The sequence below is a fragment of the Homo sapiens genome, chromosome 7 (assembly GCF_000001405.40).
Source record: "Homo sapiens chromosome 7, GRCh38.p14 Primary Assembly".
Lineage (NCBI taxonomy): Eukaryota > Metazoa > Chordata > Mammalia > Primates > Hominidae > Homo > Homo sapiens.
In genome coordinates this window covers 17,258,342-17,276,702 of record NC_000007.14, presented here as the reverse complement: position 1 = coordinate 17,276,702, position 18,361 = coordinate 17,258,342, and the positions used below count along the sequence as shown (strand labels likewise).

General features: G+C 37.6%; 1 long non-coding RNA gene across 2 annotated transcripts in view; it reads left to right on the top strand.

The window, feature by feature from the left end:
* The window catches only part of LOC101927609 (uncharacterized), a 164,409-nt gene that overhangs the window by 22,618 nt on the left and 123,430 nt on the right, over positions 1-18,361 (top strand). For both annotated transcript variants that reach the window (XR_007060234.1, XR_007060235.1), the window contains exon 6: positions 17,375-17,451. This is a non-coding gene — a long non-coding RNA (uncharacterized LOC101927609). The remainder of the gene's footprint in view (positions 1-17,374; positions 17,452-18,361) is intronic.

Below are 18,361 nucleotides of genomic sequence, written 5' to 3'. Positions count from 1 at the left end.
ATTGGCCACAGTTTTACATACGAGGAAATGAACCTTTGAGTGGTTAAGCAACTTTATTATGATCTCTCTGCCAGCAAGTAGTGGAACTGAGATAGCTATGCTAATACCAAGTGCTTCCACAGAACTCTGTACTTCCCTCATTATACTCCTCAAACTTCTTTGTAATTGTTTGTCCGGTATCTGTCCTCCCCACTCTATGAAGGCACAGTGTGGGCCTATTAGATTTCACATTTTATTCTCAGAACCAAACAAAATACCTGGTATCCAATGGTAGTAGCTCAAGAATATTTGTCAAACAATATTTGCCAAATGAAGTCAGAGAATAAATAAGCTTATGAAACAAGACTTTAAAATTATGGAGAAAAATAAAAGATTGCTAACATTCTTCAAGGGTTACAACATAGATGCCTATTCCCTGAGATGATTACCCACAGTTGGCTTTTAAAGAGACTGCAGCTAGAAAGTACACAGAATGATACATATATTTGGCACAGAAGCCAGACTCTCCAAGTAAAGCAGCCAAGGGCTCTACATTGTTGGAAGCTGTGCCTCATGAAGGGAAGTAACTCTTTGGCAAAATCTAGAAATGACAACTAGAGATTTTGAATTAATACTTCATAAGAGTGAGGATGACCTTGGCATGAGGACATTATTAAATAAACTATCATTGTAGTGGGATGTTTCTCTCCACCTTCTTTATTCCCCATGGAACTGCTCCCAACCCAAATAAGAACAAACAAAGGACGTAGTACAGCTGCTATCAACTGTACCGATCCCACCCTTTTGTAACAGAGCACAGCCTAGGGCACATGATGCTTAATTTAGAGAGAATTCAAGTTAGAAGCAGATGAGAACTAACAGTTATATCAGATGGAACTGCTTAATATATTCAGGAACACTTAATATACTTAATCAAGTGAAAATTGGCACTGCGGGTTTTTTGTACAGATCACTTATAAGTAGGTTTATCTGGAGGAAGATTAACCAGGGCATGATGGTGAGTGGATGGATGGATGGGTGGGTGAATGGATGCAGGTAATGACAACAGATAATAGAAAGGAAGGCATTTACCAAGAAAACAAAGAATAAATAATACAATTGAATAATCCTTTCTTCAAATACATTTTAAAGTAGGAGTAAAGATGACTATATGTTTGACATATAAAAAAAGAAATTTCTAGTGTTTTTTAAAATGGTATATTGGAGAGGAGCACAATTTAGTCAGTATGACAATGACTTTGGCTTTAGACATAAGTTAGCATATAGCAAAGATCTAAGAGAACAGGTGGAGTTATAAGATTAGAAGGTTCATGAGTGATCAGGAATAAAGACCAAGATTTGGGGATCATTAACATTGACATGGTCACTGAAGCCATCAGCATAGATAAATTTGCCAAGAGAAGAGAGCAACAAGACCAGTAAGCTTTAGAAATACCCACAGAAAAGAGACAAGAGGATAAGTTATAATTAGAGGAGTGGTCAGTGTTGGTCGGAAAGTTTGTTGTTCAGGATGATGGAAGCCAAATTATGGAAGAGTTTCAAGAAGGGCAAGAGTTAAACTTGTGTAATATGACCAAGGAATCAAGAGGGAGAAGATTAAGGAAAGACATTTGAATTCGTCTAAAAGGAAAGTCCCTGACGTGCAGAATATTGGCATATGGAAAGCAGCCAAAAAGCAGATTAAACAGTGAGAAAGTTAAAGGAGGTGGTAAGCATACACTACTTATTTTAAGGACTTTGGGTATAAAAGAAAGGAAAGAAGTATAATGGTGGGAAATGTTAAGGGCATTAGGTTAACAAAATAAAAGGATACTGATATAATAAAGAAGAATCTAATCTTCTTGAGTTAGAAACTACTCCCTCATAGTAAATTAGTAGCTGTGGGAGGCTCAGAAACTCTGTGAGGGCACTAGAGTATTGTTCCCTGCAGTGTAGTTGCGGTGCCTCACAAACCATAGAGGCTATTAATCATAGCTTTAGGAAAACCACTTCCTGTCACATTGGAGAGACTCGATAGGAAATAAAGAGACCATTATATGAGACAGAAGCAGCAGTGTCTGCTTTTCTAGAAGGAATATATATTTAAAGATAACTGTCAAATCAATTTGCAGAAAGTTAATCTGCTGTTAGATTTTAAGCCACTGGGCCATTCCTGTATCGTCGTTATGCCTCAGTTTCTTCATTTGAAAAATAAGGAGTTTATCTTAGTCTATTCTGTGTTGCTATAATGGACTACCTGAGGCTAATTTATAAAGGAAAGAAGATTATTTTCCTTATAGTTCTACAAACTGTATTAGAAGCATGGCACTGGCATCTGCATCTGGTACAGACCTCAGATTCCGTCCACTCATTGTGGAAGGTGAAGGGGAGCCTGAGTGCAAGAAATCACATGGTGAGAGAGACAACAAGAGAAGAAGGGAGGTACCATGCTCTTTTTTAACAACCAACTCTCTAAGAACTAAGAAGTGAGAACTAAGAACTAAGAACTCTGTACAAACTAAGAAAGTGAGAATGTATTCACCCCTGAGGGAGGGCATTAATCTATTCATGAGGGATTCACCTCCAAGACTCAAACACCTCCCACCAGGCCCCATCTCCCAACACCACCACACTGGAGATCAAATTTCAACAAGAGATTTTTGGGGAGACAAACCATATCCAAACTACAGCAGAATTGATAACCCACAAGGAAACTTTTAGCTTTCAAAATCTATGTTCTCCGATTCTTTCCTTCTCAGACAGTACCATTTGTAAAGAAAGAAAGGGTAATTGTAATATAAAATGCAATTATACAATTAAGAATGAACAAAGGCAGCTTCTTTCTTCTTTTTGTCTTCTTTTCCTCTCAATTTTCCTTCATTTTTTTACCCTTTAGTTTAAAAATAATTGATCTTGAAAACTTTTTCATGGATCTTATGAATTATGAAGCTAATACTTCATGGATCTTATGAATGCTAAAGGTGTGAAAATTTCTACAAAATAGTCATTGACTTTTTCTGTACTTTACCTATTATGTAGCTCCCAGGATCCTTGTAAATAGTATTATTATTAGAAATAGCATAAAAAAGTAGTAATAATAAGACCTATCATAATAGTGCTAATTCCTTTGACCTAATTACTTTTTGAAAACAGAATGCATATTATTGAGATGGATTCTTTCATCTGTAGGCTTCTTTAAAATTTATTTGTCAGGGTGTGAGAATTCTGTCCTCCATAGTCCTGTATCTTGTAAACCTTTAATGATGCATGTTGTAATTGTTAGGACCTAAAATACAGAATGTTTTCATTCAATTCAGCACACATGTTTTGAGGAGATATTATTGCGAGATTTGGGATATCAAAATGAAGACAAGGCAGTTACCTACAGGAGCTAAGTATCTAATTGGGAAGGGGAATGGCATATTTATAATAACTATCATCCAGAAGTGAATTTACAACTTAAAATGCGCTTTCACCATCGTTCTCCTTTGACTCTGACTACTACGCTGTAAAGTATATATGCTTCCTAGTTTCCTATTTATAGACGATGAAATCAAGGAAGAGAGAGGGAAAGTGACTTGTACCAAGTCAAAGTTGGTGAATGATGGACTAAACCCTGAATTTCCCATTAAAAATATCAAGTTTGTTCTATTCTGTACAGAGGCAGCAGGATGCAAGAAATGTTTGGACACTTGCAGTTAGAGTATATTGGAGGTGAAGTTGTTAGTGGTAGTGGAGGGCACATTACAAACAGGAGGTAAGGCTGGAAAGCAAAGTAGGAACCACACACTAGAGAAGTTAAATCCCAACCACAAGAGTTTACATGCTGTTATTTATGGACGAGTTGCTAATTGAAGGATGTTGAGCAGGGGAAAGATCAGATCACATTTGTGTTTTCTGAAAAGAGTACTGATGGCTAGAAGTGGGCTGGTGAGAAGAGTAAGAGACTGGGAGCCAGGGTATAGCTCTTAACTGTCTGATCTAAGAGGGTGACAAGCATGAGCAGCACAGAGGCAGAAGGCTTGGAAAGGAAGGGGATAATGTTAGATGTGGTTTCTTTAACAGGAGGCATGCCCAGTTTTGGATTTATTGGGTTGTTATGAGGCCTAGATTCAGGCCACATGTCATAGTGCCTACTTCTCAGTCTGTAAAGAAAATATCTAATCTTTCAAAAAAATCACTTCTGGTTATAAATCTACTCGGTAATTCCAAGTAATTAACTTGTTCAGCAAACTTTAGTGATACCACATTCCTGATTTTTCTTTCTGACAATATTTTTTTTTTTTTTTTTTTTTTTTTTTGAGACGGAGTCTCGCTCTGTCGCCCAGGCTGGAGTGCAGTGGCGCGATCTCGGCTCACTGCAAGCTCCGCCTCCCGGGTTCACGCCATTCTCCTGCCTCAGCCTCCCAAGTAGCTGGGACTACAGGCGCCCGCCACTACGCCCGGCTAATTTTTTGTATTTTTAGTAGAGACGGGGTTTCACCGTTTTAGCCGGGATGGTCTCGATCTCCTGACCTCGTGATCCGCCCGCCTCGGCCTCCCAAAGTGCTGGGATTACAGGCGTGAGCCACCGCGCCCGGCCTCTGACAATATTTTTAAGCTCTCTCTCTGCACCAGGTCAGGATATGAAATCAGCCCGTTAGTTTGATTTCTTTAATTTCTGTCGCATCATACTTTGCTGCTTCCTTCAAAACAGAAGTAATAAGAGTGATATCAGGAAGATGGTAGAGTAGGAGATACCAGCCTTTGCTCCCCCACAGAAACAACAGACAGCTATTCACAAATGAAAATAGCCCTGGAAGGGCTTAATAGTACAAATAAAAACCTATGGGAACATAGTGAAGTAAAAAACAGATAATAACAGCACAGAAAGGATTGCTGGAGAGAGCAGTATACTTGAGACATCTGAAGATGGCTAGTAACAAAGAAAAGCAGGGACTACCAATGTCAGCCATGCATCAGGTGCCACTACATTCCCCAGTGGCCTGCTCTTCAGAGGACCTGGAAGCTTTTGCCATTAAAGACCTCAGTAGCCCCTGCCACAGCCATGGATTCCCCATAGCTTTGGCAATGGAGGTTCCCTTAGTGTTCATCTGCATGGATCACAGTGGCCTGCTACACAGAGGATGCCTCAGCTTTTGCCACTAAGGTAACCAGCAACAACTGACACTGTGCACCTCCTGGGAGAGGAAGCTGCTTCCCCAACCCTCTAGCCAAGAAGGAGCCACTTTCCTGCTACTCTAGGATTGGGGCTATCACTGCCCCACCAACCCTATGCATACCCGGAACCCTAGAGCTGTGGCCATTGTGTGCATACCTTCATTCCAGACCCTGACTCTATGGCTGCATCACACATGTACATGCTTCATACACCAAAGCCACTGCTGCTATGGGCCAGCTGACACCCCAGACCTTAGAGCTACTGTTGCTCTAACCCTGGCTCAATGGCTTCTCTCTGAGTTCCTGCATCATAGACACCAGAGCCATTGCTAGAGCAGGTATGTGCATAGGCATATTGTTCCATACCTTGCAACAACAGTCTGCAGTCTGCTTGCATATGCCCATGCTCCAGATCCCAGCTCCATGGCCACACTGAGCACCTATTCCTAGGACACCAGAGCCACTGCCACAATAGGTTTATTTGCACCCAAGATCCTTGAGCTGTGGTTGCTCTATGCATGCCCACTCTTTGGATCCCAGCTCTGTGACAGCTTTGTGAGCACATGTGCCCAGGACAGCAAGTCACTGCCACAGCAGGAGCATCCACATTCTGAACTCCAGAGCTGCTGTAGTTCTGCACATGCCTGTTTTCTTGTTCTAGCTCCCTAGCTGCTCCATAAGCACCCAAGCCTCATGCAGTATTACCAATGCTGCTGCAGTAGCCCTGGAAACCCATGCCACCAACTATCACAGACTCTGGAGCTGTAGTTCCTCCATGCATGCCTACATTCTAGACCCCAACTCTGTGACACTCCATAGATGCCATGCATCAGATACTGATACCACTGCCCCATGAGCGTCCATGAGCCAGCCTTGGCACCCAGAGTGATCCCCTTGGCCACAACTTCCTCTGTGGGAGAAAAAGAGATCAAGTGGACCCCAAAAGCCTTTATCATCAAGGATCCCAATGGTCCTTGCCACCACTGCAGACACCCAGAGCTTTGGCTGTTGAGGACCACTGCAACCTTTGCTGATGCTGACCGTAGCTGACAGACCTGCACAGAGACTGTGCCTTCAGCAAACCTGGAATTGTCACACCCCACCTACATGGCATTCTTGCACCCACCTCCATGTGAAGGTCTTTTTCACCAAAACCAGTCTGTAAAGTCTAGAAGAGGTGACTGCTCCATCAAATGGGCAGACATCAATGCAAGGAACAAGAAACATGAAACAATCAAGGAAGCACAATATCAACAAAGGTATAAATAATTTTCTAATAACTGATTCCAAAGAAATGGATGTCTATGAATTGCCAAATAATTCAAAATAATTATTTTAAGAAAGTTTGGTGGGCTACAAGAGAACACATAGAAAACTGAACAAATCAGAAAAACAATACATGAACAAAACTAAATGGTCAATAAAGACATGGAAATCATGAAAAAGAACCAAACAGAAATTCTGGAAATGAAGAATACAATGAATGAAATGAAAAATGCAATAGAAAGTGTCAACAGCAAACTTGATCAAGCAGAGGAAAGAATCTGTGAGCTCAAAGACAGTCACTTGAAATTATCCAATTGAAGGAATAAAAAGTAAAATGTGACAAAAGCCTCAGTGATTTGTAGGACACCAGCAAGTGGCATGATATGCACATTATGAGAGTAACAGAAGGAGAAGAGAGAATGTGAAAGGGGCAGAAACCTTCTTTAAAGAAATAATGGCTCAAAACATCCCATATTTGCTAAGAAATATGGATATCCAGGAATATAAAGCTCAAGTTATATAAAGTTTATAAGCAGCTTCAAACCAAAGAGGTCTTCAATGACACATAATCTGTAAAAAAATAAAAGAGAATTCGAAAGCAGAAAGAGAAAAAACAACCTTGTGACATACCAAGGAATCTAGGAATCTAACGGTATCAGCAAATTTCTCAGCAGAAACCTAGCAGGCCATAAGAGTGTGGGATGATATATTCAAAGTACTAAAAGGAAACAGAAACAAAAACGAAAACAAAAAGAAACACTGCCAACCTAGAATACTTTATCCAGCAAAGCTGTCCCATGGAAATGAATGAAAGATAAAGACTCTCCCAGACAAACAAAAGTGAGGGAGTTTATCACCACTAGAACTGCCTTACAAAAAAATTGCTATAGGGAGTTCTTCATACTGAAATAAAATGCTGCTAATTAGTAACATGAAGTCATATGAAGGCATAAAAATTACTGGCAAAGATACATATATAGTCACATTCAGAAAATTCTTATACTGTAAAGATGGTGAGTAAATCACTTTTAAGTATAAAGGTTAAAAGACAAAAGCATTAAAAGTAATAATGACACAATAATTTGTTAATGGATACACAATATAAAAAGATGTAAACTGTGACATCAAAAAACATAAAATGTAGGTAGGGTGGGGAATAAAGGGTAGGGTTGTTTCATGCAATCAAAGTTATTGTCACCTTACAATAGACTGATACTATACTACAATAAAAAGTGTTATATAAGTCTCATGATAATCACAAAGAAAAATATCTATGGTAGATACACAAAGGATAAAGAAAAAAGAATCAAAGCATACCATTAGACAACATTATAAAATCACAAAGGAACACAGAGAAGAGGAATAGAACAAAATCTGCAAAACAATCCAAAAACAACAAAATGCCAATAGATTTAAATAGCTCTTACCTATCAAAAATTACTTTAAATATAAACAGATTAAGTTAATCAATAGCAGAGTGGTCTAATGAATTTTAACAAATAAGACCCATTTATGTACTGATTAAGGAGACTTACCTCACCTTTAAAGACACAAATAGGCTGAAAGTGAAGAGACGGAAAAAGATTCCTTGCAAATGGAAACCAAAGGAGAAGAGGGAAGCTATATTTATTCAGGCAAAATAGAATTTAAGTCAAAAACTGTTATAAGAGACAATGAGTATCTTTATGTAATGATAAGTCAATTCTTTAAGAGAATATAACAATTGTAAATATATATGCATCTAACATTGGAGCATCTAAATATATAAAGCACATTGTATTTGTTCTCATGCTGCTGATAAAGATATACCTGAGACTGGGCAATTTACAAAATAAAGAGGTTTAATTGACTTACAGTTCCATATGGCCGGAGAGGCCTCACAATCATGGCAGAAGGCAAGGAGGAGCAAGTCATGTCTTATATGGATGGCAGCAGGCAAAGAGAGAGCGCTTGTACAGGGGAACTCCTCTTTATAAAACCATCAGATCTTGTGAGACTTATTCACTATCACGAGTACAGCCCAGGAAAGAATTGCCTCCATGATTCAATTACCTCCCACCAGGTCCATCCCACAATACATGGGAATTCAAGATGAGATTTGGGTGGGGACGTAGCCCACCCATGATATATGCAATATGTGATATATGCAAATATATCACATATATTAGCAGATCTGAAGGGAGAAATAAACAGCAATATAATAATAGTAGAGGACTTCAGTACCTCATTTTCAACAATGGATGCATCAACTAGATAGAAAATCAATAAGGAAACATTGGGCTTTGAACTGTACTTTAGACAAAATGGACCTAATAGACATAAACAGAACATTCTATCTAACAGTAGCAAATACACATTCTTCTCAAGTGCCCACAGAACATTCTCCAGGATAAATTATATGTTGGGCTACAAAACAAGCCTCAACAAATTTAAGAAAATGGAATTATATCAAGTATCTTTCCTGACCGCAGTGGTTTGAAAGTAGAAATCAATAATAGGAGAAAAAATGGAAAAGGTAAAATTATGTGGAATTTAAATAACACACTACTGAACAATCAATTTGTCAAAGAAGATCAAAATGGAAAATATCAAAAAATTTCTGAATGAACGAAAATGGAGATACAACATACCAAAGCTATGGTATGCATCGAAAGCATTTCTAAGATGATATTTGTGGCAATAAATACCTACATGAAGACAAATAAATATCTCAAATATTCTAATTTTACACCCCATGGAACTAGAAAAAGAAGAACAAACTATACCCAAAGTTAGCAGAAGGAAGGATATAATGAAGATCAGAACAGAAGTAAATGAAATAGAGACTAGAAAAACAATACAGAGATCAAGAAAACAGTTGGTTTTTTGAAAAGAAAAACAAAATTCAAAAACCTTTAGCTAGATGGATTAAAAAAGAGAAAAGAATCAAAGAAATGAAATCGAAAATGAAAAAGAAGACAGACAACTGATACCACAGAAATACAAAGGATTGTAAGTGACTACTATGAACAGTTATGTCAACCAATTCTATAACCTAGATGAAATGGATATTTAGAAATGTACTACCTATGAAGATTGAATCATGACAAAATAGAAAATCTGAACATACCAAAAACAAGTAAGGACACTGAATCAGTAAGCACTATGACCCAAAAAGGAAAGTCTAGAAACAGATGGTTTCACTGTAGAATTCTACCAAACATATAAGAAAAAAAAATTTAAAAAATAATTTCAACTTCTGTATTAGATTCAGGCAGTACATGTGCAGGTTTTTTACATCTACCAAATATTTAAAGAAGAATTCATACCAATTCTTATGAAGCTATTACAAAAAATTGCAGAGGAATGAACACTTTCAAACTCATTTTATGAGGCCAGCCTTACCCTAATAACAAGACACTATCAGAAATGATTAGTTCAATATTCTTTATGAACTTTGAAGCACAAATCCTTAGAAAAATACTAGTGAACTGAATTTAACAGCACATTGAAAGGATCATACAGCATGACCAGTGGAATTTACCCCTGGGATGCAAGGATGGTTCAATATATGCAGATTAATAAGTGCAACACATGACATTAACAAAATGAAGGATAAAAATCATGTAATTACATTTATAGATGCAGAAAAAGCATTTTACAGAATTCATTTTTTCATGGTAAAAATGCTCAACAAATGAGGTATAAAAGGAATATAACAAGGCCATACATGACAAGTCCACAGCTAACATCATACTTAAAGGTAAAAAGCTGAAAGCATTTCTCCTAAGATCAGGAACCTGAGACAAGGGTGCCTACTCTCACTACTTTCTGTTCAATATAGTACTGGAAGTCCTACTACAGCAATCGAGCAAGAAAAACAAATAAAAGATATTCAAAGAGAAAATGAAAAAACAAAATTATCTCTGTTTGAAAATTACATGACCTTATATAGAGAAAACCTTTAAGACTCTACCCCCCAAATTTAAAACTAATAAATTAATTCAGTGAAGTTGCAGGATACAAAATCAACATACAAAATTAGTTACGTTTCTATATGCTAAAAATGAACTATGTGAAAATAACAGAACATTTACAATAGCATCAAAAAATAAAATACTTAGGAATATATTTAACCTAGGATGTGAAAGTTCTGTGTGCTGAAAATTATAAAATATTGATGACAGATATTGAAGAAGACACAAAATGGGAATATATTCTGCATTCCTGGGTTGGAAGAATTAATATTGTTAAAATGTCCATACTACGCAAAAGTATCTACAGATCCACTGTAATATGTATTAAAACCCAATGGCATTTTTCACAGAAATAGAAAAAACAATTCTGGAAGTCACATGGAACCACAAATATCTCTGAGGAGGTAAAGTAATCTTGAGTAAGAAGAAGGTTGGAAGCATCACATTTCCTGATTCCACATTACATGACAAACCTATAGTAACCAAAATAGTATGATACTGATATAAAAAGACACAAACCAATGGAATGGAATAGTGAGCTCAGAAATAAACCCTTACATATATGGTCAATTAATTTTCAATAAATGTTGGGGAAACAGGGAAACTGGATTTCCACGTGCAAAAAAAATAAATTGGACCCTTATCTTATACCATGCACAAAAATAACCTCAAATTGGACTAAAGACTTAAATATAATACTTGAAACCATAAAACTCCTAGAAGAAAATTGAAGGGAACAGCTCCTTGACATTGGTCTTGGCAATTATTTTTCGGATTTGACAACAAAAACACAGGCAACAAAAGCAAAAATAACCAACTGGGACTACATCAAAATAAAAAGTTTCTGCATAGCCAAGCAAACAATCAACCAAATAAAAAGACAACCAACAGAATCATTGGAAATATTTGCTATCCATATATGCAATTAGGGGTTAATATCCAAAATATATTGGCAACTAATAGAACTCAGTAGCAAAAGCCCAAATGACCCAAAATGGGCAAATGACCTCAATAGACATTTTTTCCAAAGAAGACATACAAATGGCCAAAGGACCATAAGAGACATAAAAATGAGCAAAGGACCTCAACAGACATTTTTTTTCCAAAGAAGACATATAAATGGCCAATAGATACTATATATGCAAGTGTTCTCAACATCACTAATCATCAAGAAAATCATAAAATACAAATACAAATCAAAATCATAAAATACAAATACAAATCAAAACCACAATGAGATATCACCTCATCCCTGATAAGTGTTGATAAGGATATGGGAAAAGGGAACCCTGGTATACTGTTAATAGGAATGTAAATTGGTACAGCCATTATAGGAAACAGTATGGAGGTTCCTCAAAAAATTAGGAAAGAATTGCTGGGTAATCCAGCAATCCCACTGTGGGTATATATCCAAGGGAAATAAAATCACTATATTTAAGAAATATCTGCAAGCCCATTCACCACAGCATTATTCAGTTTGGCTTTTTCCAAATCTTGGCTATTGTGACCAGAGACCAACAACAAAACAAATGTCTCCCAAATGAAAGATAATTCAGAGGGACAGCTTTCATCTTTCTTTGCTTCAGAGAATGAGGCCTAAGAGAGTAGTGTCATTAGTATTATAAACTTATTTCGTTTGGTATTGGTGGGGTTGGGGCAGGGATAGTTGGTATACTAGTTTTCTATTGCTGTAGTATCAAATTCCAAAAATGTAATGGCTTAAACAAAACATATTTATTATCTTATAATTCCATAGGTTAGAAGTCCAACACAAGTTTCACTGGGCTAAAATTAAAGTGTCAGCAGAGCTGCATTCCTTTTTGGAGGCTCTAGGGGAAGATGCATTTTCTTGCCTTTTCAAGCTTTTAAAGCTGCTCACATTCTTTGGTTCATGGTCCCCTTCATCCATCATTAAAGTCAGCAATAGTCGTGTCCTAGTCCATTGTTGCTATTATAGCAAAATACCATACACTGGGTAATTTATAAATAATTGAATTTTTTTCTCACATTTCTGGAGGTTGGAAAGTCCTAAATTAAGGTGCCAGCAGATTTAGCATCTGGTGAGGACTTGCATCTTCTGCTTCCAAGATGGCACCTTCTTCCTGTATTCTCACCTGACAGAAGAGATTGAAGAACTGTGCGGCTCTCTGAAGCCTCTTTTATAAGGGCACTAATCCCATTTATCTCGGAGACGGAGCCCTGATGTTGTAATCACTTCCCCAAAGGCCCTACATCTTAAGACCATCACAATAGGGATTAAGTTTCGAAATGAATTTTGAAGGGACACAAACATATAACCCATAACAGGTGGGTTGAATCCTTCTCAAGTTGCATCTTTCTGGCCATTCTTCTGTTGTCAAGTCTCTCTATCTGGCCAGAAAGTCAGGGAAGTTTCTCTGCTTTTAAAGATTGGGCTTATGCAAATAATCCAAGATAATCTCCGTGTTTTCAAGTCAGATGATTAACAACTTTAATTCTACTTGCAACCTTAATAACCTCTTGCCATGTAACATAATATAGTCATATAGTGACAAGTTCCTGGGATTAGGTCATGGACATCTTTGGGAGGTCAATAACCATGAAGAAATAGGTGTTATAGTGAAAAGCTAGACAAAAACGGCAATAGATTATTGAGATCAAGAGGAAAGTTGATCAATGTTAAAAAAAAAAAAAGAGACAGCAAAGAATTTTCTTCCAAATGAGAGCATGATTATTTATTTTTCAATATTTTGTCTAAGTACACTTCAGGAAGAAGTAATATATCTTAACTCTCCACAGTTCACAGGTGCTTTTGCATGTTTGATGTCTCAGTCCAGACTGCGTTGTTCCTGTCTCAATGCCCTGCCTGTCAAAGAGAATAAAGTTTAGCCTTGGAAAGTTGTGGGCCAAGTTACCAGTAATACTTAGGCTTGGGTGGATACAGGCCTCTCCCAGGGTTATGCATGGTAGGCTGTTCCCCAAAGTCACCTCAGCTGTTTAGGTTGAAGATCTTCCTACTCCTTGTTGCTTCACGGGTGTGAAGTGTAGAGCACAGGCTATGAGGACTTGGCTGTGGTGGACCAATTCTATGGACATGGATTGCTGTTTTCTGCAGGCAGATGGTTTCAAAATATGATGGCAGTTATGCCTGAGGAAGTGGGGGGCTGTAGAATCCCTCTGGTGGAGCACTAGACTTGTAAGGGGTGAAGCTGACCTCAGGCTTGGACATTGGCAGAGTGGCTGGGGCTGGGTCCTCTGAAGCCCTGCTTGTTATCTTGGGTGCTGGTTTGCCATGAAAGGAACTCTACCACCTCATGTTTGGCAGGCCTAAACTCAGAATGTTCCAGCTGGGCTAACACAATCTGGGTATAGATGAAACAGGACTAAAGCAAGCTGTAGTGCTGGAAAAGGGTCCTGGAAGTTCCTGAGCATTCACCAGTTAGTTACTTAACTGGAAGTTCTTCTATTTCCAGCAAAAGGAATAGGGTAAATATAGCAGCTATTATACCAACCAGTATAGAATTGCTTATAATTTAACAACTGAACATATCAGCTGTCTTACAGCCTTGATTTTGGCTCAAGCAAAGCAGTGGGCATTTTTTCTTTCCAAATCCCGAAACTCAAAGAGCATTTTTACTCTCCTCTTCCTAGGCAAATCAAACTTTCCATCTTATATCTCCCATTTTGATGCTGCCCTTGATGATTCTAAAAGGATTTCCTGTTCTTATCCCATGAAAAATCAGCATTTTTCTCATTAAAGATAAAATATATATCTTTACTCTTTGGCAAGGTATGCCCTCTATATCATGCTCATCAAGATGTTTCTTGAGAGGTGTACTGGGTTCAAAATGTGTTTACCAAGTTGAGTCCAAACTCTTCTAAAGATTGGAGCCCCCAAAGAGTAGCATGCAGTGAAATTGATATCCAGTTTTTTAAAACTTTCATATGAATTGGTATGATGATCACTAGCAGATTTATTCATCCTCAATTGACTGATATTCCCAAAGACACTCTCCCAAATTTAAAATCTCCAATTCTCTTCAATTTTCCTGTAAAACAAAAGCGCTGATAACAGTAACATATATATGACCATTCAGAGCTATTATATCTACTGGTTGACAAAATAGGAGAACATTGTGAGGAACAGTGACAAAACCCTAGAAGCTGTAGAAATACCTAGGAAAAAGATTGAGGAAAAGAAGTGTTGGATGAAAATATCAGAGGTACATACAAGATGGCTTTCTCCTGAGTACCTTGAAGTCAGTATTCATTCAATACATTTTTGTTTTGGTTTGGTTTTGGTTTTCGGGTTGTTTTGTTTTGTTGTTGTTTTTGTTTTTTTTTCTGAGACAGAGTCTCATTCTGTCACCCAGACTGGAGTGCAATGGCATGGTCTCATCTCACTGCAACCTCTTCTCCCGGGTTCAAGCGATTCTCCTGCCTCAGCCTCCTGAGTAGCTGGGATTACAGGAGCCCACCACCATGCCTGGCTAATTTTTTATTTTTAGTAGAGATGGGGTTTCACTATGTTGGCCAGGCTGCTGTCAAACTCCTGACCTCAGGTGATCTGCCCACCTCGGCCTCCCAAAGTGCTGGGATTACAGGCATGAGCCACCACACCTGGCCCATTCAATAGATTTTTATGAAGCTACTAAGTCAGACATCATAGTATATGCTAGAAATACAAATACGACAGCAGAGATTATTCTAGAGATATGAGGTTTACTGATGAGCAGTTGGTGATACAAGTGATGATTTTAAAAAATAGTGGGAATGGAAAGGTTTAGCAGAGGAAATGACTAGTCAAGATTTTGTGGGCTTAAGTAAATAATGTTTGTATTTGCACAGAACCATTTTACACCTACATCCTCTTTCTAATGATGCATAATCTTATGCCAAAGCTGAGTATCAATCATTAAGATTGAAATTTCTAGACTAGACCGATATTCTCAAGGTTCTTGGCAGAATGACTCATTTGGGTATGAAACCACATACACATTAAACAATCACACTACAGAGTCCAGGGTGATAGTCTGGTATTTCTCGACATTTACAACCTTAGAAATGAGTAACTGCTGAATGGCAAGTTGCTATACATGGTAATCTGATAGAACAGTAAGGGAAAATGCACAATAATTAAAATGAATTTATGTCTATAACTTCTAGTTTAAATATCCTTTCCCATTGATATGACTGGTACTTAGAGAAAAAACTGTGTCTACTACTTTTTTATTTGATGAAATCACGTAATTGAATTTTTGATCCACCTTCTCAGAAGCTATCCATGTACACTCTCAAATTTTTCCTTTTGACAAAAATATATTTATATTTCCACTGTTTAAAAACAACTGGTGTAGAACCAATTCAACTAGAAAGAGTTTAGAAAAAAAGGAAACATGCATTCTGTAAATGTTCATAGGGCTTGTTTCACAATGAAAACTTCAGTAGGTAAATATAATCAAACAGCATCAGGAAAATTAAATTCTCTTTCACTTTGCAGCAATGCCAAGCAGTAATCTACAAAGAGGTACAGTATGGATTATAAATGGTACAACCAGCATCTTGGAAGGCAAATATTTGGATTAAAATCAGCATTGTGAACTGAACTGGTCATAAAGAAAATAAATAAACCCAATGGAGTTCAAAGAGGGTATTTAAATGCTTTTACAAACTCAGTTAGCTTTTATCTTTAAGATTCAGAAATTAATATGAATTGCTTAATAATTAAAAGTAAACATTTTTATAACATTAGAAAACTAAGGAATGTAACATTAATTACCCAGAAAGAATCTATAAACATGGAAAAATTAATGAAAAGAAAGTGCATTAGAAGTTCAGAAATCAAACTTCAGTTTTCTCTTAAGGAAAATCTCAGAGAGCACAGGAGTATAATCTATATATTTTTCCAGTTAGAGAAAGAATAGAGTTCTAGGGGGATAGGTATAATATATGGACATAGTATTTTCAGAAATGTGATGTGCTTATGTTTTTTATATTTCCTTGTGAATGTTTTTTTCCCATAGTCGGACTTGGGAATTTAGTGGAAATTAGGCGAATTTCAACAAAAACGCAGAGAAGGAAAGATATTCTAAAAGGCAGTGTGCTGACAGACAGTAGCCTTGAAAACTACATATCTGAGAGGATTTTCTAAATTCCCTTTTTTCCCATTTAAAACTTCTAGAAGCTGGCCTAGCAAGATTAATCACAGAGTTTTGTGAAAAAGAGGTTCTAGTCAAAAAGGAAGAAGGAAAATCTTGTCTGGTTGGTCCGAAGAGTTGAATGGAAGAGAAAGGGAATGGCAGATTGAGGAAGCCAGAGAGACCCTTGTGTCTAGATCTCCTCTTTCCAGGCTGAAGTCCTCATGGGAGAAGATGTGTGACATGGAATGAGATGCCCCCAAAGGCTCTCATATTTGGCTGGCCCAATAGAGCAGATCACTTGGTGGTGGAGAGTAGACCAAAAGAAGGCCTGAGTGTGGCTTCCTCCTTTAATCTGCCTCCTGTGTGTCAGAGATAGGACTCACAAGTACCTGTGTGCCCTGAGGGAGACAGGTGGAAGTAAATTGAGAGTCAGGTTGGTCTAGAGAACTCTCAAGTCAGGGCTCAGGGGCTGTGTAGCCAAATGGTTGTGAGGCTTAAGGAGGGGCTAAGTCAACAGGAAGAAAACTGTGCCCTGACCAAGTCCAGAATGTCCACACCCTGAGTTCCCCCAGCTTACACTTTCTCAGCAGATGCGAGAACACTGCACAGATGCTCCACCGCCACTTGGCCCATACAGCAGATCAGGGCCTCACTGGCTTGTGCTGCCCCACAGCACAAACCAGTGAGGCCCTAGGAGGTAACCCCTTCCTACAGCCCCTGTGATGTCAAATAAGCTGTATGCTCCCAAACTGCAAATACCATTTAGATAATGGCTGAAGAAGAGGGCCTCTAAGATACTGCTCATTTTACCAGGGACTAATACTCTAATGGATTTAGTTTTTCAAATGGGACTATATTTTAGATTTTTCCTTTTTTGTTCTCCTTACCCTGTAGGTGCACATCATGGAGACAATCTGACTGGTACAGAGAAATGAAGAGACAACATTTTCTTTCCAAATCTGAGTGGAGATGTGAGTAAATTTGTAACTCTATTACAGGCATTTTGTCATTATTCACATCTTCAGAGATTTCTAATCTTTTTCTAGAGACCCAGATTATCTTTGCCCACTTCCCTAATAAGAATCTCTTTTCCAGGATCCCATGACACACTTCCCTTTGTCGTTTTTCTATCTCTCCAGAATGTCTTGTTTTGCATGTTTTTATCCTCAGATCTTTAAAACTAGCCACATCTAAGGCTCAATATTTGGTCGCACACATTAATTCTTTCTGTTTGGTGTTTTGTTACATGAGAAATAATTTGATACACACCCATGGTATTTTACAGATAATTGTCTTATAACCAACTTATTCTATTGCTTATAATTTTGCATTGGATAAGTGTTTTGCCTTTGTCCTTAAGTGAGTTCATGTGTGAATGGTCGATCTATACTGACTATATCTAAGTGTTTCAAGAACAGTGACTGTCAACCAAAGGACATTGCTCAATGCTTTATATACAGTAAGTTTTAACATAACTAGTATTGACTGTATATATACTATATGATTGATAAATACAAAGGGGAAGAGAGCATGATCCTGTTCTCAAGAAACCTTCAGTTCAGCAGAGGGAACAGACCCAACCAGGCAGAGGCTAAGTGCTATAATAGAGTATAAAAAGAAGGAAACACTTATTTTTATGTGATGAGGAAGACTCTTATAAGAAAATGGCAATAAGTTGCGCCTTGCAGGATGAACAAACTTTGGAAAAGATACTGAGCAGAGAGAACCATGTGTGCAAATGTATCTCTAAAAGGCTCATTTCCTTCTGTTTTTATGAATAATGAACTATAATATTAAATCAATCCATTTAATTATAAATGTATCAGCATTGTATACCAACACATGTGATATGACATTTGTAGTAAAAATACAACCTCAATT